Raw genomic sequence first — 20,500 nt, forward strand, 5'->3', positions numbered from 1 at the left:
CAGCCTCGATCTCCCCAGGTTCAGGTGATCCTCCCACCCCAGCCTCCCTAGCAGCTGGCACTACAGGCGCGTGCCGCCGTGCCCAGCTTATTTTTGTATTTTTTGGAGTAACGGGGTTTCACGATGTTGTCAAGGGCACAGTGGCTCACGCCTCCAATCCCTGCACTTTGGGAGGCCAAGGCAGGAGGATTGCTTGAGGCCAGGAGCTCGAGACCAGCGTGGGCAACATAATGAGCCCCATCTCAGCAAAAATTAAAAATAATATAAATAAAATTATAAATAAACAAGTAAAATGGAAAACCTTTGCTAAAGTTGCAAGAGTATTACAGTGGCCTCGCATTATGCCCTTCGTTGAGATTTTCCCATGGGTAACATTTGCCACATTCGCTTCATCTCTTTCTCACTAATATGTTAAATAAAAACAGTCACGTGAACATTCTTCCATTTTTGCTGAATCATTGGGGAGTAAATTGCAGGCATGATGCCCCTTCACCTCAATCCTTCAGGCCTTTCATAAGAGCAAGGCCAGGCCGGGCGCCGTGGCTCACGCCTGGGATCCCAGCACTTTGGGAGGCCAAGGTGGGCAGATCACGAGGTCAGGAGATCGAGACCATCCTGGCTAACACGGTGAAACCCTGTCTCTACTAAAAAACACAAAAAATTAGCCAGACGTGGTGGCGGGCGCCTGTAGTTCCAGCTACTCGGGAGGCTGAGGCAGGAGAATGGCGTGAACCCGGGGGATGGAGCTTGCAGCGAGCCGCGATCGTGCCACTGCACTCCAGCCTGGGCGACGCAGCGAGACTCCGTCTCGAAAAAAAAAAAAAAAAAGAGCAAGGCCATTCTCTTATATAACCCTAGCACAGTTATCTACCCCAGGACACTGATTTAACATTGACGTGATTCTGTTATCTGTGGATCTTAATGGCATTGCACTGATTGTCTCAGTGTTTACAGCAGCCTTATTTTTCTTTTAGTTCAGGATCGTCATTATGTTTTTAAAAAGGGTTTAAGGGATGTCTCCTTCGCTGATTAAGACATTGCCTGCTCTAGGGGCTTTCAGAGTCTTATTTAATCCTCAGCGTTCATTAAATACATTTTACAATGGGATGTGGCCTGCGTGTGCATGTACACAAACACACACGTCAAACTCAAACCCTGAAATTGAAGTTTCTCAGATCATCCTCGTACTCGCCATCTGCTGTGCTCTGGTCTGCTCTGTCTTCCTTTAGTAAAAAAGATGGCCTTGACCCCTTACATTGATGTCAAGACCCACTGTGGACTCTGCTTTGGAATTAGAAAACCCTGGCTTCCTGGGCAGAAATTTCTAAGGGGGAAGGTTAAGCTCCCACTGGTCCAGGGTTCGGATTGGTTGGAGTGGGGTCCCCTGTGAAGCCGGGACTAGGCAAGCGTTTGTTTGTGGCCCAGAGCTCCTCAACCTGCTGCTGCTAGCAGCTGGACCAAGTCCTTCCTTTTCATCAAGCTCAGCTGGCCTAGGTTGCTTGGTCACAAGCAGCCCCACCCCATGGAGACATATTCTTTGTGCTGTGACATCGGGCAGGGGTGTGTACCCAGCCAGCCACTGGGCAGGCATGGAGGTGACCTACTCGACGTCAGCCTCCACAGGCGTCATCATAATAGTTATAGACGTCAATAATAATGATTGCTACCGCTTCCTGGACTCAGCATGCTCATATACTGCCGAGAGGTTTACTGTGTTAACTCTGTCAACCCAAAGAAGTGGGTGTGCTCTTACTCTTTTTGAAAAAATATGAGAAATTCATTGAGCGCTTATTGCACATCAGGCACTGCTAAACACGTCACAGACTCATGCACAGCCTCCTCAGGAGCCTTGTGAGGTGGGCGCTGATGTCATCCCTATTGTACAGATCAGAAAACTGAGGCTTGGAGAGATGAATTGATTGTTTCCAAGACTACACAGCTGGGAAGGATTTGAACCTGATTGAGCTGACTCTAGCCCACTTCCTCAGGCTGGGAACGGCCTCTGGGCCCAGCCCCTTCCCCTTCCCCCGGGACTTCCTCCTGGTTAATGAGTAGTCAAAGCACCTGGGAAATGAGGCTCCTGCTGCCGTGAGGCTGGAATGTGAGTTCTGCTTCCAGATAGAGTCTTGTGCAAGGGGCCCTGCCTGGGATGGGCTGTTACAGGCAGTAAACAGAGGTTGCCAATGTTCCTCTTTTTGAGGCTTGCTGATGTATTTGCGCTTGGGAGCCCATTTTATAGAAAAGGCTGAGAGGCAGATTTGCCCTCAGACTTATCTGATGCTCCTCCAAGCAGCCCTCTTGGCTTAACACTTTCTGAAAGGGCTCCTCGGCCCCCTGACATGGCAGGGGTGTCTAGAGGAACAGGGTGGAAGAACAGACCTTGTCAGCTCTGAAGTCTGAGCACTGCTAGGTGTGCGCCCTCCTCACTGGGCACGTCACTTGAGGGCTCTGACCTTCAGGTTCTCATCTGAGAAGGGGCATGATGCGGACATGGGAATGTGTGTTAGTTGTTCAGCAGAGCCTGAACTATTAATGGACCAGCCCAAAAAAGTATTGCTGACAGGGGGCAACCCATGTAGTGGAGTCCATGGAGCTGGGGAGTCAGGCAGTCCCTAGTTCAAATCTCTGTTCCAGCCCTGCCGGCTTCGTGACCTGGAGGAGTCACAGAACTACCCTGAGCCTCAGGTAACCCACCCCTGAAATGGAGCAATAGTGGCACCCAGGAGGGTTAGAAAGACGGTGATACTGGGATTTTGGGGTGGGGGTGACCTCATCACTTTGTAAGCACAGTGAGGTTAAGTGTGCAAAAGGCCTAGCACATCAGTGCCAAGCACCCCACATGCAATTTCTCATTTTATCCCCCAAGGTGAGCCCCCCCTAGAGCAACTCCCCACCCCCTCAGCTATGGGGCTGAGTCCAGAAATCAGATTCACCCTCCCGGTGCCTGGGGCAGCTTAAGGAAGAAAGAAGATTCTTAACAGGGAGACCCTCTCTGGGCTTGTGGTGAGATCTCCCACGGGGTGTCTGCCCCCATGCCCCGCACCCATTGTAAACTGGTGCATATAGGAGTGTTGATATAACAGGCCCATGACTTCCAGTGTTGTCAGAAAAGGCCACCTCAGGCCTGTTCAACAGAAGTGCCAACCTCAACATTCGCTTCCTAGAAGGCTCAAGACCGTAATAAAATGATATTTATTATTTACTCTGGTTATAAAAGTCATACATTTTTGAACAGGCACAGTGGCTCACGCCTGTAATCCCAGCAGTTTGGGAGGCTGAGGCGGGTGGATCACTTGAGGTCAGAAGTTCAAGACCAGCCTGGCCAACATGGCAAAACCCCATCTCTACTAAAAATACAAAAATTAGCTGTGCGTGATGGTGCGCACCTGTAGTTCCAGCTACTCTGGAGGCTGAGGCAAGAGAAAACAAGCTGCTGGATTTGGCCCAGTGGCCAGTTTGCTGACCTTGTTGTAAGCCATGATTTGTTTGACTAAAGCAGTGTTTATTTAATTAATCCCATAGTGATGGGAAATTGGCTGGTTACAGTTTCTCTTGTAAACCACTCTGCTTTTTTTTTTTTTTTTTTTGAGACAGAGTCTTGCTCTGTCACCCAGGCTGGAGAGCAGTGGTGTGATCATAGCTCGCTACAGCCTTGACCTTCCAAACTCAAGCCTTCCTCCCACCTCAGCCTCCTGAGTACCTGGGATTACATGCATGCCTCCATGCCTGGCTAATTATTTTTTTTAGAGACTGGGTCTCACTATGTTGCCCAGGCTGGTTTCAAACTTCTGGGCTCAAGTGATCCTTCTGACTTGGCCTTCCAAAGTTCTGGGATTACAGGCATGAGCCACCGCGCCCAGCCTCTATTTTCAATTGTTGTAAAAGACAAATAACTTAAAGCTGACCATCTTAACCCCTTGAAAGTGTACAATTCAGTCATGGTAAGTAGATTTAAAGTGTTGTGCCGCCAATTTCCCGAACTTTTTTGTCTGGCAAAGCTGAAGCCAGTGAACTTCTTTTGAGTGGGCGTCTTTACACGTTGGTCTAAGCAAGAAGTGGGCTTGCTGGTCGAATGGGGTGCACGTGTTTGAGATGCTGCATACGTGTTGATGAATCATTGACCCCGCAGGGGTTGCCCTCATTTTCACTCTGGCCTAATATCAGTGACAGCCCTGGGGCATGGAGATGGAGGGGTGGCACCTCCCTGGGGAGCTCCTGCCTTCGGGACTTTAGGAAACGGGATTTAAAACAATTCATCCCAGAGAAGCAGCCCCCAGTCTGCCAGCCTTTCTCATTTGGGGGAGATGAGAAAAAGCCGGTAAGCAAAAAATAGCTCTGAGTACTGGGCCAGACTCGAGGTTGAAAAACATACTCCATCCTCTAGAGATGTACTGTTAGGACCTGAGCTCAGGGGTCCCGTGAGCCTGAGTGTGAATGTCATTCAGTTTCTACCCTGCTCTGTGACTCTGAGCACATCGTTTAACCTCGCTGTGGGCTTCAGTGTCCTCTGTCAAAACGGGCCTGATGTAGAAGCTCCCTTCTCTGGTTGTGAGGGTCAGGGAAGAAAAATGGTGAAAGTTAGCAGTTCTAACTGTGAACGTTAGCTCAGAACGGCACATAGCAGTTCTTCAATAAATGAAGTTAACATCGTTATTGCTCGTAGTATTGTGATTATGTTTGGTGCCTCTATCTCAGAGAAGTCTGAATATATGCATAGTAATCGCATCTGCAGCCCTCTACAGTTTGCACGGTTTTTCCAGCTTTGATACCTACATCATCTTGTAGGGTAGTTACTACTGCCCCCCATTTACAGGTGAGAAAACTGGGGCTCAGGAAGGCAGTGAGAAACTGGAAGTCAGCCACGTGTCAGGACAGGAGCCTGGATTTAGCCCACATCTTTGGCTTTGGTTTTGCACACAGCTGCTGCTGGGAGCTGGGGCCAGGGCAGGCAGGTGCCTCCTCTCTGGCCTCAGCCTCGTGGGAAAGCTTGGGCCTCAGGTGGAGTGAGGATGTCTTGGGTGCATCTTCTCGTCTCGGCTCTTGGACCCAGCAGGGGTCGGAGGGGGATTTCTTAAGGGAGGGGGCTTTTTCAGAAATGGACAGGGACTTTCGGGACCATGGCTGCCCACCTCAGTGAAGTCTGAGGGGAGTTCCTGGAAGGCATTTCCATCTGTCCATGTGTTCTAAGTCAGTGGACAATTAAGTCCAGAAACCTCCTGGACTTAAAAAGCAAGCACCGCCAGGATCCCTGGGGCTGCAGACAGCCTCGGGGGTTTTGGAGGGCTGGCTCCTCAGGCACCCATGAAGGAAGGTGTCCTGGGGTCAGTATTCAGACCCAAATGCCCGCAGGGACCCTCAGGGTGCCTTTATCTACTCATGTCTCCACACACTTGCTGGCAGAGCTGGGACAAGTCACTAACCCTCTGTGTGACCTCTGATTCGCCATGGAAAAAAGAGTGAATAGAATAAATCATTTATTCCCAGGGTAGGTTCTTGGGGTGGCAGTGCCGAGCTTGGGTGAGTCTCCACCCCTTCGATTTAGGAGCCGATGCCCTGGTGCGGATCTCTCCTCTGAGCTGAGCGTCCTCCACTAAGTCAGGCACAGAGCACGTGCAGCATAGGGCCGGTGTCCAGGCCCCACCCCAGCTTGGCCGCTTAGTGGCTCACCTTCTGGGGGCCTGCATGCAGGCCACCTTGGCTTCCTGTCATTGCTTCTCACCCCCACCCTCCTCCCAGCCAGAGGTAGAGTTGCATCCCTGCTCTTCAGCCTTTCAATTCCTAGCCCCAGCTTGGCTCCCACCTCCAAATCCCTACCCTCACTCCTCTTGCTCTGTGGGGTCCCACCTGGGCCATTGTGTTGCAAAGGACTCACGCCTCCTACCTCCTTTGCTACCTCTGTCACAAGGAGGGGGCTAGGTTCTCATTTATATTTTCTGGGTTGAGTTTTCCTGAGAGCTTCTGCTAGTCTCACAGCCCCTCAAGTCTCTTCTGGGCATCCTGCCAGTCCTGGACAAGGGTTCCCAGACAAGGGTCTGTCTCTTGTCCCTTAAGTTACTGGGGACCCAGAGAGACCAGATTCTGATGAGGAATCCAAGACTGGGTCCACATCAATGAGAAGGAAGCCAGGATTGATTAGCAGTGTCTGTCAAGGGGGCAAGGTGGGAAGAGGTGGCATGTGTGTTGTCCACATGACACCCTTAGTAATGGGCATTTGCTTTGGAAAAACTGTAGAGGAACCCAGAGGACTTCAAAAGGACTCTACAGCCAGCAGGCAAGAGGTGTCTTCTGGATAGGAAGAAGGGGACGAAGTGCCTCTGGAAGGACAGACAGTGTGTCCAGGGGAGGGAGCCCTGCTGTGCCAGGCCTTCTCATGCCTCGGTGTGATCTCACACCTGGGATGAGTGTGAGACACTCACACATGAATGTTGTGAGACAACATTCATTCACTTAGTAAATATTGAGCAACCACTATACACCAGGCACAGTGCAGTTGGTAAAGAGCCAGGAGGCTGGACCTTGTCTCAGGTGGGTAGAAGGAAGCTGTTTGTGACTGTGGGCTCATGAGCCTGTCTGCCTCCACCTTTTCATCCACTTTCCTCATAATAAGCCTCCTGAGGCTCAGAGAAGTACAGTGACCTGCTCAAGGTCACACAGCACCTTGAGACCTCAGGCCTCTGCTCCTCTCAGAACCACCTTCCTGTTTTGGTGCTGTCAAGAGAATAGTATTTGGTGCTACTTCTTTGGGCAAGTCCATCTTCTGCCTGGGCCTCAGTTGCCCCATCTGTAAAATGGGCCCTATGATAACTACTGGGTTAGCAAGTGCATGTAGGAGAAAGCATCTTGGTATTTTGAAAATACCAAATGTGTCTTATTAATTAATATTGGTCATAATTCAGGGGTGATTTATTCACATTTAACAATCCAGACATTCAGTGAAGTCTCTCACCCTAAAGGAGACAAAATCAGGGAGTGTGGCCTTCTGTGGGCCAAGCGATCCCTGTGTGGCCGAGTCTGGAAGTCTCATGGCTGGGTTCTGGACCTGCAGGATGATTCTGGGGAGAAGGGTCGTCCCAGCTTAAGGTCATGGAGTCAAGACCTTTTGTTTTCCTTTGGCCTTTCTAGTCCATTTGAGAAAGTCACCTTTTCAAACCCCTGCCAGCTCTGCCTAGTACTGGAAAGGCCCCAGCAAGAGTGTTTGACGTTAGGGGAAGTTTGGGGAAAAATCTCTAAGCATATAAACATTGAGAATTGAAAGTCTGATCAGTCATCCAAAAGTTATGGACTTTTGCTGTGGTTCAGGCCCCAGCTGGGGCTAGGGACCCTGAAATGAGCTGCCCTCTGTCCAGCCTGGGAGCTTGTGTGGGAAGATGCTACAAATCAGGACCCTGTCAGGGATGGGGAGGGCCTCTTGAAGGTGCTTTGGGCACGCAAAGTTAAAAAAAAAAAAAAGCTCCCTGAGGTCTTGAATATCAAAAATATGCCAGTTGGGCACCAGACAGTGAGGGCATTCCCAGTAGGGGAAACAGCCCGTGGAAAGGCCTGGTAGAGAGTGGAAGCCTGTAGAAGCCCTAAGGAGTGCAGCGTGGCTGGGGTGTCCTGCTCTGGGCAATGGGGAGGGGAGAGGAGCTGCCTGGGGTAGGGGGTGGGGTTGGGTCTGGCTCAGTGGCCTCGGATCTGTTCAGAGTGGTTGGTCTTGATTCACTCTGGGGAACCAGCCAGAAACAGGAATCCTTATTTCATGGTTCCAACTGCCCCTTAAAGGTAGTGCTTGTTGTTTTGACAACTGGCTCCTGAACAGACAAACCCTGCCTTCAACCAAACACCGCTGCAGGAGAATCACAGGCACGGCCACAAGTCTCCAGAGGAAACCCACTCTAACGAGGTGTCTAACCCAGTTTGCTGACTCACGTGGTTTTGGGAGCCCGTGAAGTGCATTGGGAGGGAGGGGACGGGGACACGGCGCTATTGAAGGAAGCTCGGTCGAAGCCGCCTGTTTGACACACAACACCGGCTGGAGAAACCGTTCAGCTGGTATTTTCCCAGTGTGGCAGATCTGGAGCCCAGGGGTGTTTGTTTCTGCCTCTCTCTGCACTTAGCTGGATGCTAAGAAGGGGCGGAGTCAAGGTCAAGTGTTGGTTGAACGAAGGCACGCCATGAAAGATGGCTAATCTTTCTTGGGCACAGAGTATCCTGTTTCTCCTGAGAGCAAATCCAATTGTGTATTCGAGGCACTTCCTTGTACCTTCCTTGTGTAATTCACGACGATGACCCATTTTACAGATGATGCAACTGAGCCCCCCAGGGGGAAGTGACATTCCTGAGGTCACCACTTGCAGCTGGGAAGGGGTGCAGTGTTAGGTTCCAACTAAAACATAGGTGATGCAGCATAGGCAAAGGGTGGAACTAGGCAAACCTTATTTGGGAAACAGAGTCCCGCAGGAGCTGCCTGCACTGGGAATACAGAGCCCAAGCAGCAGAGGCAGGGAGGGCCCCTCCTCTCCACACACATTGTCGGGAGGAATTATGTAGAACTCGGCCATCTGGGGGTCAGCAGGAACTGCTTGACCAAATAAATAGATGAGTCAATTAAAAAGGACGGATTTCTTGGCTATATATAGTTGTGGCCTAAATCTCAGGTATCCTTGCCCCCAAGGAGTAAAGGGAACCGTTTTCAGATGGCCCAGGCTGTACATGGGAGAATAAGCTGATTACACCCGGGGCTGCAGTGGGTGACACACTTTGCAGGAGTGAAAGGAAGCTCTAAGGAGGTGAGGGGTGGGTGGGGGACTCGGGGCAGGGAGGGTGGAAGGCAACAATTGCGTTTCCAAAAATGGTGTGGGTTGGGAGACTACCCATGGTCCTTCCCCTCATCAGTTTCATTGAGATTGGTCACACCCCTGGATATCAGCCACTTAATTTCTCTGGCCAGTCTGAATTTAAATGGCTAAACATTTCTTCCCTAGCCTGCGGGGTCAGTAGTTAGTAATCACGGCAGGTATGCATGACTCTCACCAATTATGAGTATAATTAAATGGGAAGATGCCTTGCAAGCATTGAGCACTGGGCCTCGCGCAGCCAGGGCTGTTAGCTGCTGCTCTTATGATTGAGGCCAGCTGCCACCCGGTCCGTGAAAATACTTTTGATCTGGGCTGATTCAAGAGACCTGGATTCTAATCCTTGAGTTAATTTGAAAAATAATTCCCCTGCCTCCTGCTGGTTTCAGTTTCCCCCTGTGTCAGGTTGAGGGGGAGAGACTTCCTGGTATCTAAGGTCACAGCCAGGCGGTGCCCCAGAGCGCAGTGGTTACCGATCCAGACTCCAGTCCACCACTTCCTGGCTGTGCAACCTCGGTCAAGTCGCTTATTGATTCTGAGCCGTAGTTCCTCATCTCCATTTGGGGTAAGTCCCCCCCCAGCCATCCCAAAGGGTGGCTGGTTAAGGATTGGGTAAAATACTGCGTCCACCTGCTGATCCCCAAACTGCACATGCAAGCCTGCAGCCCAGGGAGCTGGGATTGGCCACGAGGTTGGAGGATTTTGCATACATTTAAAGCATTTCGAGTGTGCTTTTAAGCCCCATTAGACTCTAAGATGCTACACAGTCTCGCTACTTTCGGACTAATTAGGAGAAAAGTAAGCAGCTGTAATCAGTGAAAAATGATTTAAGGAAAGAAAAAAATATTTAGCCTGATTAAAACATTTCTATTAGCTAGAATTATGTAAAGTGCCCGTCACAGTGCCAGACAGACAATGTCAGCTGCAGTTATTATTTCAGTTATACAAGAACAGGTGGAATTAGGAGAACCAAGGGTTGCTATGACAATAAGCCGGGACCCTCCTCATCCCTACCTGGGAGGAGGGCTGGCCCTGCCCTAGAGCTTCCTGCGGTCTTGGTGAGGAAGAAGAAACTTCTGGGCCGGCTTCCCAGGGGAAGGTGCACCTGAGGATGAGCAGGAATGTGTCCTTCAGGGCCTGGGAATGGCAGGGCCTCCCAGAAACGGCGTGGCGATGGGGGTTCTGTGATAAAGGAACCCCTCTCTGGCTTTAGTTCTGCTGCAGAGCGTTCTTATGTGGTGTACTTTCCTGGAAAACACAGCCTCCCAGCACCCTGCGCTGTGCTGGAAGGAGCATTGTGACCTCATGCTCAGGTACTCTGAGGCACAGAGACCCTGGGTGCTGGGTGTCTTCCGCACTCTCTGGCTGCTTCTGTGCCTCAGAGTAGAAGCCCTTTGGGAAGACCTAAGAGCCAACCACAATAATTGCAGCTGTCCTGAGTCCTGCTACAGGCAGGCAGCTCTTCCAGATTAGCCCCAGCATGAGTAGATGTTCCCCTTCACACCTGGAGTTTTAACGTACACTTCTCTGGGCACCTGGCCCTGTCCTGAGAAATTAACCTGGTGGGATCGCCATCCACCCTGTGAGGTCGATGCCATTATCAGCCATGTTTTACAGGTGAGGAAACCGAGGCACAGAGCATATGCTGCCCACGGTTGCAGAGCTGGGGTTTGAGCCCCATCAGCCTGGCTTCAGAGCTTCCTGGCTAGCCCCGCCTTCCTTCCCAGGCCTCTGTCTGCTTACTATATGTGAACTCTGGGCATCAAGTTGTTGGGCTGATCTGTCATTCAATAATGCCTAAAGGAGGGGTCCCCGGTGCCCAAGGACCTTCAGCCAGGAGCTGTGGGGTTTCAAAGCTGCCATGTTGAGGGGTCCCAGTGTCTGACTTCTGCAGTTGCAGCCATCCTGGGGGCCACCAGCAAGGTAACATTCCTCTCCTGAAGGTTTTCTCTCCAGCTGCCCAAGGTGTCCCAGGGGCCAGCAGGTGGAGAGAAGCTGCCTGGCCACCCTGCTCCAAGGAGCTGCCCTGCTCTTCCCTCCTGTGGGTTGTTGGGGTTGCTCTGCAGGTCCACAGCAAAGTCCTTTTCTACTCTCGAGTCCAGTTCCCAGCCCCTGTAACTTCCATCTCCCCAGCTTAGCAGGTGCCACCATCCCAAGGGCCAGAAGGGTACTCAGTACTTTGCATGGGGAACTGCAGGCCCTGATCTGGCCCTCGGCTCCTCCACTCTGCTTTCTGCCCTGAGATGCTCCCCTAACTGTATCCTAAGGGCTAGGGGAGGGAGGTGATGGCAGGTTTTCACATCTGTGCTCAGATCCCCAGGGACCCACCAACACAGGGGACCCACATTGCTCAGCAAGAATATTGATGGGGACCCCAGGATCCCCCAGTCACATGCACTGCAGAAGAGGAGGCTGGCCCCTGAGAGGCCTGGGAGAGAGACAGTTGGAATAGAAGGGAGGGGGCAGCTAGGAGGAGGCCCAGCTGTTAGGGTGACACCCTGAATCTCAGAAGCGGTTGGCCAGTGTTTGAGCCCTGGTCTTGGCCCTGTAAGATGATCTGTAAAGCACTCGGCGGGCATGGTGCCCAAGAGATGCTCAGCAGGGCCTCGGCTCAGAGCCCAGGCTGCCCATGAGTTGAGGAAGAATGCCGGTCAATTTTGTCATCATCCTGATAGCTTGAACTTTCTAAGTGCCTGCTGTATGCCAGGCACTGTTCTAAGCAGTCCATACATGTTTGGTTCTTTAATCTCTCAACAGCCTCACAACTTAGGTACTGTTATTACTCCCATTCTATATTTGAGGAACCTGAAGCAGAGACAGGTTTATTTATGGTGTACAACTTTCTCTCCTGGGGAGGGTGCCTTTGCTGAGAGAGGGGCCCTGTGTGCAGGTGTGTGGGAGGGACATTTGGGACCCTGCACCTCCAGGCTGCTGAGTCTCCTGAGAGCAGTTCTGAACCACAGTCCAGAGCAGGGCAAGCCTCACCTTGGTCAAGCAATGTCACCAGAGCCTCCGCTGGCCTTTCCTGCCATTGTTCCCTATGCCTGGGGAGGTGGTGTTTAAGGGACAGGTGTTTCTGCTGTTGGGGAAGTCCCACCTGCTGCCTCCACTGGAGAAAGTGACTCCTCTCTGCTGGGTGACAGTGAGGGGAGCCCCTAAGTCCCAGGCAATGTGCCTTGCAGCTCATTCCTGTCCTTAGAGACACTGCCTGGGGCCTGCTCAGCTGAACTGTGCCCCTCGCCTGCTGCAGAGACAAGGCCAGGCTTCTTTTTCCCTCTGCACCCCCCTACCCCCAGGAATCGGGGTTGGTCTCCAAGGCTTCTCCCCCCAGTCTCAAACATGCAGGCCTCACTCAGCTGCCCAGCTCCAGGAGCCCTAGGTCACCCCTGCCAGCCTTTGCCTTGATTTCTCAAACTCCCTTTCTCTTTAGCAAGTGGATAAAGGCATGTTGGCTCTGTCCTGGGTCCACATCTGGGCTCTGCCACTTGCTATGGAGTAACCTTGGCCAGGTCATTCTCCTCTGAGCCTCATTTTCCTTATTTGTAAGTTGAGGGCCAAGGTCTTCATCTGCCAGGGCCTGGTGAGGAGCAGCAGCAATAGGGAATAAGAGACTCTCTGGCAAACTCTCAAGTCCGGGATAAATGGCTGTTGGGATGATCCTGGACTTAGTGAGGCTGGCAGAAGTGAAACTCAGCCTGGCCCAGCCCCTAGATGCTCACAGTCTGGCAGATGAGACGTCTGTGTGCACACACGCATCACATGCACGCACTGTCATGAGCCAGCCTTAATCTCTTTCCTGAGCTGATTTTGTTTGATGTTTTGCCCAGGTGCCTCCCAGTTCATTATTAGCACCGCCATTCCCAACCTCACCTGATTTTCAGATTCACCTGGGAAGCTGGTTAAACAGGACAGATTCGTGGGCCCCCACCTTGAAAATTCAGTCAGTAGGGCTGCATGGGCCCAGGCATCTGCATTTTTAGCCAGTGTCTCAGGCAACTCTGATGTTCCTCATGTGAGGATTTTGGTCATCCACTAGTCCCTCCTAAGATCCCACAGACTTCAGCAATGAATGACTTTACAGATTATGAGGCCCGCTTACAGGTCAAGAAACTGAGGTTTCCCAAGGAGAACTTTGAACTTTATCCAAAGTTGCACAGTTCTGAATGAGAGTGCAGTGTCTGGTGAATGGTGGGGGTGATTTGAGCTGGAGGATGCTAAACGGAAGAGTCTTGGGTGGGCGGGAAGGGCTTTTGCTGGGAGGTGACACTTGGACCAGGGTCTTCCAGGTGGGTGGGATCTACCTAAATGTAAGAGAACCCACAAACCAAGCACAGACTTGAAAGGGGCAGTGCCGGGGAGAGAGTCATGCTGGGCAAAAGGAGAAATAAGGTGGCAGAGATTGGGGGCAAGTCAGACAACTCTAGTGAGCCTGGGATTCCAAGAGGAGAAGTTCAGATTATTATCTAGGCAGCTGGGAGTCACTGATAGTTCTTGAGCTGGGGGCTGACATGGCAGGCATTTGGGGTTTGCTAGAAACAAACCCGGCTAAGCACGTGGGAGCAGAGGTCAGGGCACGCCTCCAAGGAGTTTCCAATGGTTGGTGTGGCCTCTTGGGCCACACCACGAGTGACAGGCCATCAGAAGGTATACCATGTCCCCAGCACCCCCAGAGTTTAAGCTAAATTGCAATGGAAAGTTGAGGGAGATGGCTACCACTGGGGGTTGCCCTGGGAGATGGCCCCTGCACGTAGGAAGACCACAGTTGAGAAGCGTCGGTCCTCCCTGCATCCTAGCCCCACCCGAGTGTGGATTTTAGCGCTGAGCTTTTCTTCTGGCTGAGCAGTAGCCGCTGTTAGGCACCATCTTGTAGTGCTGGAAGTCGCTGCCACCACTGCACCAACAGTTGCCAACCTGACAGAATTAGATATGAGCCTCATCCTCCCAAGTTTGGAAGAAGAGCTTATGTTCAGCCTCTGGCGTCCACTGTATCCCACCAAGTTGGGGTTGTCGGGAATGTCCCGCCCCTCCACCACATCTTTCAGGCCTCAGTTTCCCCTCTGTGAAATGAGTTCCCTCCAGCTCTGATGGGGCCGTCTGTGGAGGAGGCTAGAGACTGTAGCTTTGTCTTGTCACTGATCTGCTATGTGGCCTGGGCCTCAGTTTCCTCATCTGTAAAATGGGCTTGGATGTGGACGTGCCAAGACCTCCAAAGCCCCACTGTGAGTCTTTGATTTTGTGTGGGATCCCAGGGCATCCCCTGGCACTTGGCAAACCTTTAGGGGCAGGAAAAATTAACTTCAAAGTCATTATTGGAAGATGCTCAGGAATGGACATCGTTTAATGAAAAGTGATTTCCTAAAGATCTGGTGTTCATCTGTAGAGTTTTGACCATCTGATGGGAAACTGTGCTCAGATGTTGGGAGCACATCCTGGTCCACCCTTCCCCACTGTCCACATACCCCAGCATCTGTCATTGCAGTTTGCTCTGTCGCCCTCGTAGAGGAGCTCTCAGAATGCCTGACGTGGAAGGCTGTTTCTCCCTATGCAGAGTGTCCCCAGAGCCCTAAGCCCTAAACATTCCATCTGAAAAATCCTCATCGTGCTGGGCCTTGTATTAATACTAGGTGTCAGGAAGCAGGACCCGGGTGACTGGGGAGTAACAGACAGCAACAGTACAGGCTGGGAACGCAGGGACAGAGCTGTCCTGGAGGCTGTCCCATCGAGGCTGTGAGGGGTACCTGCTCATTAGGCAGGGGAAGAGTGTACCGGGCTGAGGGCACAGCACAAGCCAAGGGTGTTGGGGCTTGAGAAACCACAGCGTGTGCTTCAGGAACCCCTGGGGATCTTGGGCTGGTTCTGGATGGTGGAGGGGGCCTAGGAATCGGCTTCCAGTTAAGTAGAGCAGGCACCTGTGCTCCAGAACACAGTGGGCACCGGTGACCGACAGTGCTAGTTCCCCACCCTGTCTTGCTAAATCCCAGGCTGTTTGGTTCCTCTAGCACCACACTCTGGTCGAGCTGAATTTCTGAGTCCGAGTGAGGTGGGGCGGAGGTAGGAAGGAAGAAGAAAGTACATCCTCGTCAGGGGGAAAAACATGTTTAAAAGAGGAACAAGGAGGGGGAGGTTGTTTGCAAACATTTAATGAGGTAGGAGTTTCACATACTGTAGATGGGATATTGTGCCTACTTTAGAGAGGGTAACACTGAGGCTGAAGAGAGAAGGTGACTTGCCCAAGGCTGTACAGCAGAGCGCCCTGACTGGTTTCCATGGCACTGTGGCATCCGGCAGAGCCACAGTGACAGAGTTGGGGCTGGCCCGGCTCCTGCACGTGCACCCTTAGCTGACTCTGTCACTGGGGCCTGTATCCTTCCAGTTTCTATAGAGCAAGGGAGGGGCTGCCCTCTGCTTTTCATAGCCAACAAGGAGCAGGGCTTTAGGCTTCTTACAGCTTAAAAGGAGAAGGTCAAGGAAATGGCAACCAACCTTTCTCTTTTCTTGAGTTTCTTTTTTGTGGCCTCCAGAAATAATCCTGGGCTCTGCAGAGCCTGTTTCAGGCTCATGGTCTACCCTACCCCGCCCCCATTTCCGGCAAAACCAGGCTGAGGGCTGGGCTGCTAGCGAAGCTGACAGCAAGAGTGACAGCCCTGTCCTGTCGCTGGTGAGTCAGTGCCAGGAGGTGGCTGCCTGCTGACTCACCCACTCCTTCCGCAGGCTCCAGGGGCCCCTACAGCAGCCTGACTCCAGCCAGCCCTGGGCCATGGGGGAAGGAGATGGAAAAGGGGCTTGGCTCCCTCTGACCCTTCACCCAGCCCCTGCACCCTGGAGCAGAGCTGCAGGCAGTGTGACCGTTGTGCTGTTATTGGCCTAAACACATAGCAACAGGAAAACAACCCCAAAACCCCAGCCTTAAGAGCAAGTCCAACAGTGCGCGACTCCCCAGGTCAGGAGAAGCCCCGATGTGTGCAGAATCTGCAGATGGGGCTGCTCTCGGCCCTGCCTCTGGCTGTGGAAACAGGCCTCCAAGTACCCAAGGTAGGCATTTTGGTGGCCCTCCCCAAGCTCCTCTTTCTCCTCCAGCCCAGCTGTGGGTACCAAGTGCCCTGGAAGTCTACTGAGTGGTGTCCAGGGTCCCCTCAGACAGCATCCCAGAGACTTGACCTTCCTCTGTGTGTCCAGGCTGTCAGGCCCAGCTCTCAGGGACTCTTTGACCAGAGACGTCTTTGAAGCCTACCCTTGACCAGACACGGAACCTTGTCCTTCCTCTGAACTTGTAGAATAATTTTTGTTTCTTTAACAAAACGAGCCCCTCCCTCCTTCTCTAGTCGTTAGTGCTGTGAAGGTGGGACGTTAGTGCTGTGAAGGTGGGACGGTGACCCAGTACCCCTGTGATGGCCCTGGGCCAGGTGTGTAGCAGGTGCTCAGTCAGCCAGAGCTTTTGTTCCCTCCCGCCACCTCCCCCAGAGAGAATTGCCCCAGGTAAGCGAGTGCCTGCTCAGAGCAGAGTGGGCAGATGACTTCCCAAGAGCACATTACAGCAAAGGGTGACCCTGTTCCTTTCAAAGCATGGCTTCACCCATGGAGCCGGCAGGGTTTGGGCTTCCTGCACAAGGATGTTGTGTTTGTGCCACCAGTCTTAGGTGTTAGGTCCTTGGTCAAGGGGAAGACATTCTGGCCACCCACCCCGCAGGTTCTCAGCTCATGGTGAGGAACCCAGGCGGCCGAGGTGTGGGGTTAACGACTCTACAGGCCCCACCAGAAAGTGTTAGCTGAGCACGGTAGCTCCCATCTATAATCTCAGCACTTTGGGAGGCCAAGGCAGGTGGATCACTTGAGGTCAGGAGTTTGAGACTAGCCTGGCCAACATGGTGAAACCCCATCTCTACTAAAAATACTAAATAATTAGCTGGGCGTGGTGGCAGGCACCTGTAATCCCAGCTATTCAGGAGGCTGAGAAACGAGAATCTCTTGGACCCAGGTGGCGGAGGTTGCAGAGAGCTGAGATCGCACCCTGCACTCCAGCTTGGGCAACAGAGCTAGACTCTGTCTCAAAAAAAAAAAAAAAAAAAAAAAAAAGTCATAAGTACCTGCAGGGAAAAACCCAACATGGGCCCTTAAGTTCCCTTTCAGAGTAGAAGGGAAGGGTTGGTGGTCAGGGACAATCCAGGGCTTTTAGCCAAAAGCGTTGAGCCCTCACTGGGGCAGCACAAAACTTGGGATAAATCCAGGTTCTAACTCTGGCCTTGGGGGCCCCGTCCCCTCTTCCTCTCTGCCACACTCTGGCTTTCTGTTTCTTCACTATGTGCACCATGGCCCTCTTTACACCTGCTGTTCTCTGCTCTTAGAACAGTGTTCCCCCAGTTCTTTGCCCCCAGTTCTTTGCCTCAGCTTCAGTGTGGCTAAAAGCTTGTTCCCTAGAGCCGAGCTTCTGGGTTTGAATCCAGCTGTATGACCCTGGGCAAGTGGCTTTACTTCTCTGGGCCTCTTTCCATCATCCGGGCTGGTGAGGAGTAAGTGAGTGAGTTGGTGTCTGGAAAGGGCTTGGCACAGGGCCTGCCCACAGTGAGTCCTCAGCGAGCTGCTGTTGTTATGAAATGTCACCTCCGCAGAGGGGCCTACTTTGTTGTTTTCTGTGTGCTGGGCACTGTCATAAATAATTGCTCATTTATGTGTTTAGTGTCTATCTCCCCTTCTGCAGGTCAGCTTGGTAGGGCTCACCCACTGTCTCCAGTTCCTAGAGCAGTGCCTGGCACATAGTAGGGTGAGTTAACAGCCACTGCTTGCCAAAGCCACTCAAACCTTTGTTCTAACCCTGGACCTCTGAGATGCAGAGGGGAAGTGACTTGGCCTGCATGACCCAGCTTTCTGACCTCGCCCACTGCCCTTTCCCCGACTTAGCTGCTTGGGCTCTGCTGTGGGGCACCTCCGTTTGGAGTATGGTGTGTGCCTCAAACACCTTCATCTGGGGCAGCGCCAGCCACCCTGCCTCATCCTGGCCCTTCTCAGGCCATCCTGCCACCGGGAGCCTGCCGTGCCTCCACCCCTCCCCCTGCAACTGGCACGGTGGCACTCTCCTTGCTGCCTCTCCTCTGCTGCCAGACTGTGGTTCTCTGGGGCTTTGGGCCAGGTCCTGCCACTTCCAAGGAGATGATAAAACAGTTTGGACCCAGTCCCCAGACCTTATGTTCACCTGCCAATGTTTTTATGAGGGGAAGGTGACAAGTTGGCTGTCTATTAGACTCATACCGTGTCTCGCCACCCCCGGCGTTGTTCCAGAGGCTTGTTCTTTGCAAAACCTGCTCACTGTCATCCACTCTTCCCCAGCAAACCACAGACTAAGAAGAACTACGTGGTCTGGCTGGTCCCCATCCAGAGGTCACCTTGCCCCAGGGTGGCACCAAGGTCATGGAGTTGGGACGTGGGTGCAAATCCTGGCCCACTGTCCTGTAGCTGTGGGACCTGGGATAAGGCTTCCCCCTTCTCTGAGCCTCAGTCTCCTGATCTGTGAAAGGCAAGGCTGATGAGGCCGGGGGTGAGGTAGAGGCTTTTCTGCAGGGCTTAGTGTGATCCAGGCAGGAGGCTTCTAGCGGAGGTCGGGGGTCTCTGAGGGTAGACCCGTACTTTGGTGGGGTGGAGGTTGCAGTTAAATCAGGAGAGGGGAGGACCTCACCCGAGGATGCTGAACCCCAGGTAGATAACAAGCCCCTGTCCCAGAGACGGCATGCTGAAACGATTTCCTCAACAGAATTCACTTTCACTACGACCAGAATATTTTTGCTCATTGTTTCGGCTTTGTTCCGGGCAAAACAATGCCTGGCTTCCTGGATGACCTCACCGGGACAAGCCATCAGGGCTGTAGGCCAGCCTGGTCAGCATCTCCGCACGAGCCCATTCTTCCCTTTGCCACGGCCACCTTAGGTGACCTGGGGGCAATAGTGTGACCAAAGAGAGCAGACTGGCCACAGGCTGAGTCTGGCCCCCTCTGTGTTTGTGTTTGACCCAGGTGGTGGTTTAGAAACTGAAAAATGTGTGTGTGCATATAAACCAGATTTCAACATCTCTTGAGAAGCTGGAGGATCCAGCCCCAGTGGGCACCAGTCCCGAAGGCACCTGCAGTAGTGGGAGCTAAGGAGAGCTGCCTGTGAGAGTCCAGACTCCTCCTGTCCCCTGGTTCCCACTCTTCCCTGCGACCTCCCCACCCCAGTGGACTCCTGTCCTTTGCCCACCAGGCCTCTGGAGGCTTTGGAGCTCGCCACGCTTGAGTTAGCCTTTCCTTGGGAGCAGATAACCAACAGATACAGACCTCATGATACAATTCAATGATTCAATCTCTTAAAGGTGTACTTTTAAAATATATATAAAAGAGAAAAAGAAAGGCTTTGATTAATTTCCACTTAAAACAGCTACTCCACTTAGAGTGATGGAAAGAGCTTCTACTTTATTATTATTATTTTTTCATCTTTTTAGAAACAGGGTCTTGCTCTGTCACCCAGCCTGGAGTGAGGTGGCATGATCACAACTCACTGCAGCCTCCAACTCCCGGGTGCAAGTGATCCTCCTACCGCAGCCTCCTGAGTAGCTGGGACTGCAGGCGCACGTGACCACACCTGGCTAATTTTTTTTTAACTTTTTGTACAGACAGGGTCCAAATGTGTTGCCCAGGCTTATCTGGAACTCCTGGCCTCAAGCCACCCTTTCACTTCAGCCTTCCAGAGTGTTGGGATTAAAGGTGTGAGCCACCACGCCCACCCAGGAATAGCACTCTTAACAACAACTCCCTTTTTTTTTTTTTTTTTTTTTTTTTTTTTTTTTTTTTTTTTTTTTTTTTTGGTGCTTAATTGTTAAACACTAGGGCCAAGGAGAGTGCCCTTGGCAGGCATCACTAATAGATCCTGGCCATCCTGCTCACTGAGCCTGTACCTAGCCCAGAATCTATGGAGACAGTGGTCCAGGGAGCCCCATCAGAGTTCCCTGTTTGCTAGAGGAGGGCTCCAGTCCAGCACGCCATCTGTCCTGCCTGAGTCTGTGCTGTTTCATTAGCTGGCCTGGCCCAGCCCTGTGGCCCTTGGCACTGACTGCTCCCCAGGCCCTGTCCAGCCTCCTGAGCCCCGTCTCCATCATGTGGCCCTTCACTTCCCTGTTTGCCTTTGCCTAGTTCCCCAGTTTGTCAGCCGGCTTGCAGCTGGCTCCTTAAAGACACCAGACCCCATTTCATTTGATCCATAGCAGCTACAGTAGTTGAGAACATGGACTTCAGAGGCCAAGACAGACCTGGGGGGCATTTGGAGCTTAAGTGGCCTTTTCCTCATGTGTGACTGTGGACAAGTGACTTCACATCTCTGTGCTTTATCAGCACAGGAAGGATGGGAGCAGCACCCACTGAGGGGATTAGCTAAGAAAATGAAAATGTGCTTGTAGTCAGTGCTCTTTTTAAAAAGATGCATATTCTGCTTGTGTATATGGTCAGTGCTTAATAAACACAGCTATCTTTTTCTTAAAAGTAACTTTTTTTGTTTTTTTTTGGAGACAGGGTCTCGCTCTGTCACCCAGGCTGGAGTGCAGTGGGGCAATCATGGCTCACTGCAGCCTTGACCTCCAAGGCTCAAGTGACCCTCCCACCTCAGCCTCCCGAGTAGCTGGGACTACAGGCATGTGCCACCACATCCAGC

At 52.2% G+C, this 20,500-nt stretch overlaps 1 protein-coding gene across 8 annotated transcripts in view, besides 11 other annotated features; it reads left to right on the plus strand.

Moving 5' to 3' along the window:
* Positions 1–20,500, plus strand: part of SLC6A6 (solute carrier family 6 member 6) — an 86,774-nt gene that overhangs the window by 14,346 nt on the left and 51,928 nt on the right. For 3 of the 8 annotated variants that reach the window (XR_940495.4, XM_006713307.3, XM_047448763.1), the window contains exon 1: positions 15,495–15,866. The exons of 4 other annotated variants lie outside the window; for them this stretch is intronic. Coding sequence is in view for 2 of the 4 variants with exons in the window: in XM_006713307.3 (XP_006713370.1) it covers positions 15,791–15,866 (76 nt within the window). In the remaining 2 variants the exon portion in view is untranslated. Of the gene's footprint in view, positions 1–9,328; positions 9,400–15,494; positions 15,867–20,500 lie in introns of those variants that run through there. One more of the 8 variants, XM_011534030.2, reaches the window with a different exon arrangement.
* Positions 4,457–5,280: an enhancer, noted in NCBI's record as "H3K27ac-H3K4me1 hESC enhancer chr3:14462886-14463709 (GRCh37/hg19 assembly coordinates)". NCBI's record gives its function as "activates a minimal SCP1, AML or CMV promoter by ChIP-STARR-seq in primed H9 embryonic stem cells {active_cell/tissue: H9 hESC(primed)}" and the evidence as "EXISTENCE:reporter gene assay evidence [ECO:0000049][PMID:30033119]".
* Positions 5,281–6,103: an enhancer, noted in NCBI's record as "H3K27ac-H3K4me1 hESC enhancer chr3:14463710-14464532 (GRCh37/hg19 assembly coordinates)". NCBI's record gives its function as "activates a minimal SCP1, AML or CMV promoter by ChIP-STARR-seq in primed H9 embryonic stem cells {active_cell/tissue: H9 hESC(primed)}" and the evidence as "EXISTENCE:reporter gene assay evidence [ECO:0000049][PMID:30033119]".
* Positions 11,176–11,445: an enhancer, noted in NCBI's record as "active region_19510". NCBI's record gives its function as "activates an Ori minimal core promoter by ATAC-STARR-seq in GM12878 lymphoblastoid cells {active_cell/tissue: GM12878}" and the evidence as "EXISTENCE:reporter gene assay evidence [ECO:0000049][PMID:35858748]".
* Positions 11,176–11,545: a biological region, named in NCBI's record as "ReSE screen-validated silencer GRCh37_chr3:14469801-14469955".
* Positions 11,372–11,526: a silencer, noted in NCBI's record as "fragment chr3:14469801-14469955 (GRCh37/hg19 assembly coordinates)". NCBI's record gives its function as "represses an EF-1alpha promoter that drives an FKBP-Casp9 reporter gene in an ReSE screen in phorbol 12-myristate 13-acetate-treated (for megakaryocytic differentiation) K562 erythroleukemia cells {active_cell/tissue: K562(+PMA)}" and the evidence as "EXISTENCE:reporter gene assay evidence [ECO:0000049][PMID:32094911]".
* Positions 11,486–11,545: an enhancer, noted in NCBI's record as "active region_19511". NCBI's record gives its function as "activates an Ori minimal core promoter by ATAC-STARR-seq in GM12878 lymphoblastoid cells {active_cell/tissue: GM12878}" and the evidence as "EXISTENCE:reporter gene assay evidence [ECO:0000049][PMID:35858748]".
* Positions 14,942–15,853: an enhancer, noted in NCBI's record as "H3K27ac-H3K4me1 hESC enhancer chr3:14473371-14474282 (GRCh37/hg19 assembly coordinates)". NCBI's record gives its function as "activates a minimal SCP1, AML or CMV promoter by ChIP-STARR-seq in primed H9 embryonic stem cells {active_cell/tissue: H9 hESC(primed)}" and the evidence as "EXISTENCE:reporter gene assay evidence [ECO:0000049][PMID:30033119]".
* Positions 15,231–15,640: an enhancer, noted in NCBI's record as "active region_19512". NCBI's record gives its function as "activates an Ori minimal core promoter by ATAC-STARR-seq in GM12878 lymphoblastoid cells {active_cell/tissue: GM12878}" and the evidence as "EXISTENCE:reporter gene assay evidence [ECO:0000049][PMID:35858748]".
* Positions 15,340–15,634: an enhancer, noted in NCBI's record as "tiled region #14405; HepG2 Activating DNase unmatched - State 5:Enh, and K562 Activating DNase unmatched - State 1:Tss". NCBI's record gives its function as "activates a minimal TATA promoter and a strong SV40 promoter by Sharpr-MPRA in HepG2 and K562 cells {active_cell/tissue: HepG2 | K562}" and the evidence as "EXISTENCE:reporter gene assay evidence [ECO:0000049][PMID:27701403]".
* Positions 17,678–18,589: an enhancer, noted in NCBI's record as "H3K27ac-H3K4me1 hESC enhancer chr3:14476107-14477018 (GRCh37/hg19 assembly coordinates)". NCBI's record gives its function as "activates a minimal SCP1, AML or CMV promoter by ChIP-STARR-seq in primed H9 embryonic stem cells {active_cell/tissue: H9 hESC(primed)}" and the evidence as "EXISTENCE:reporter gene assay evidence [ECO:0000049][PMID:30033119]".
* Positions 18,590–19,501: an enhancer, noted in NCBI's record as "H3K27ac-H3K4me1 hESC enhancer chr3:14477019-14477930 (GRCh37/hg19 assembly coordinates)". NCBI's record gives its function as "activates a minimal SCP1, AML or CMV promoter by ChIP-STARR-seq in primed H9 embryonic stem cells {active_cell/tissue: H9 hESC(primed)}" and the evidence as "EXISTENCE:reporter gene assay evidence [ECO:0000049][PMID:30033119]".

The sequence above is a fragment of the Homo sapiens genome, chromosome 3 (genome assembly GCF_000001405.40).
Source record: "Homo sapiens chromosome 3, GRCh38.p14 Primary Assembly".
Taxonomy (NCBI): domain Eukaryota; kingdom Metazoa; phylum Chordata; class Mammalia; order Primates; family Hominidae; genus Homo; species Homo sapiens.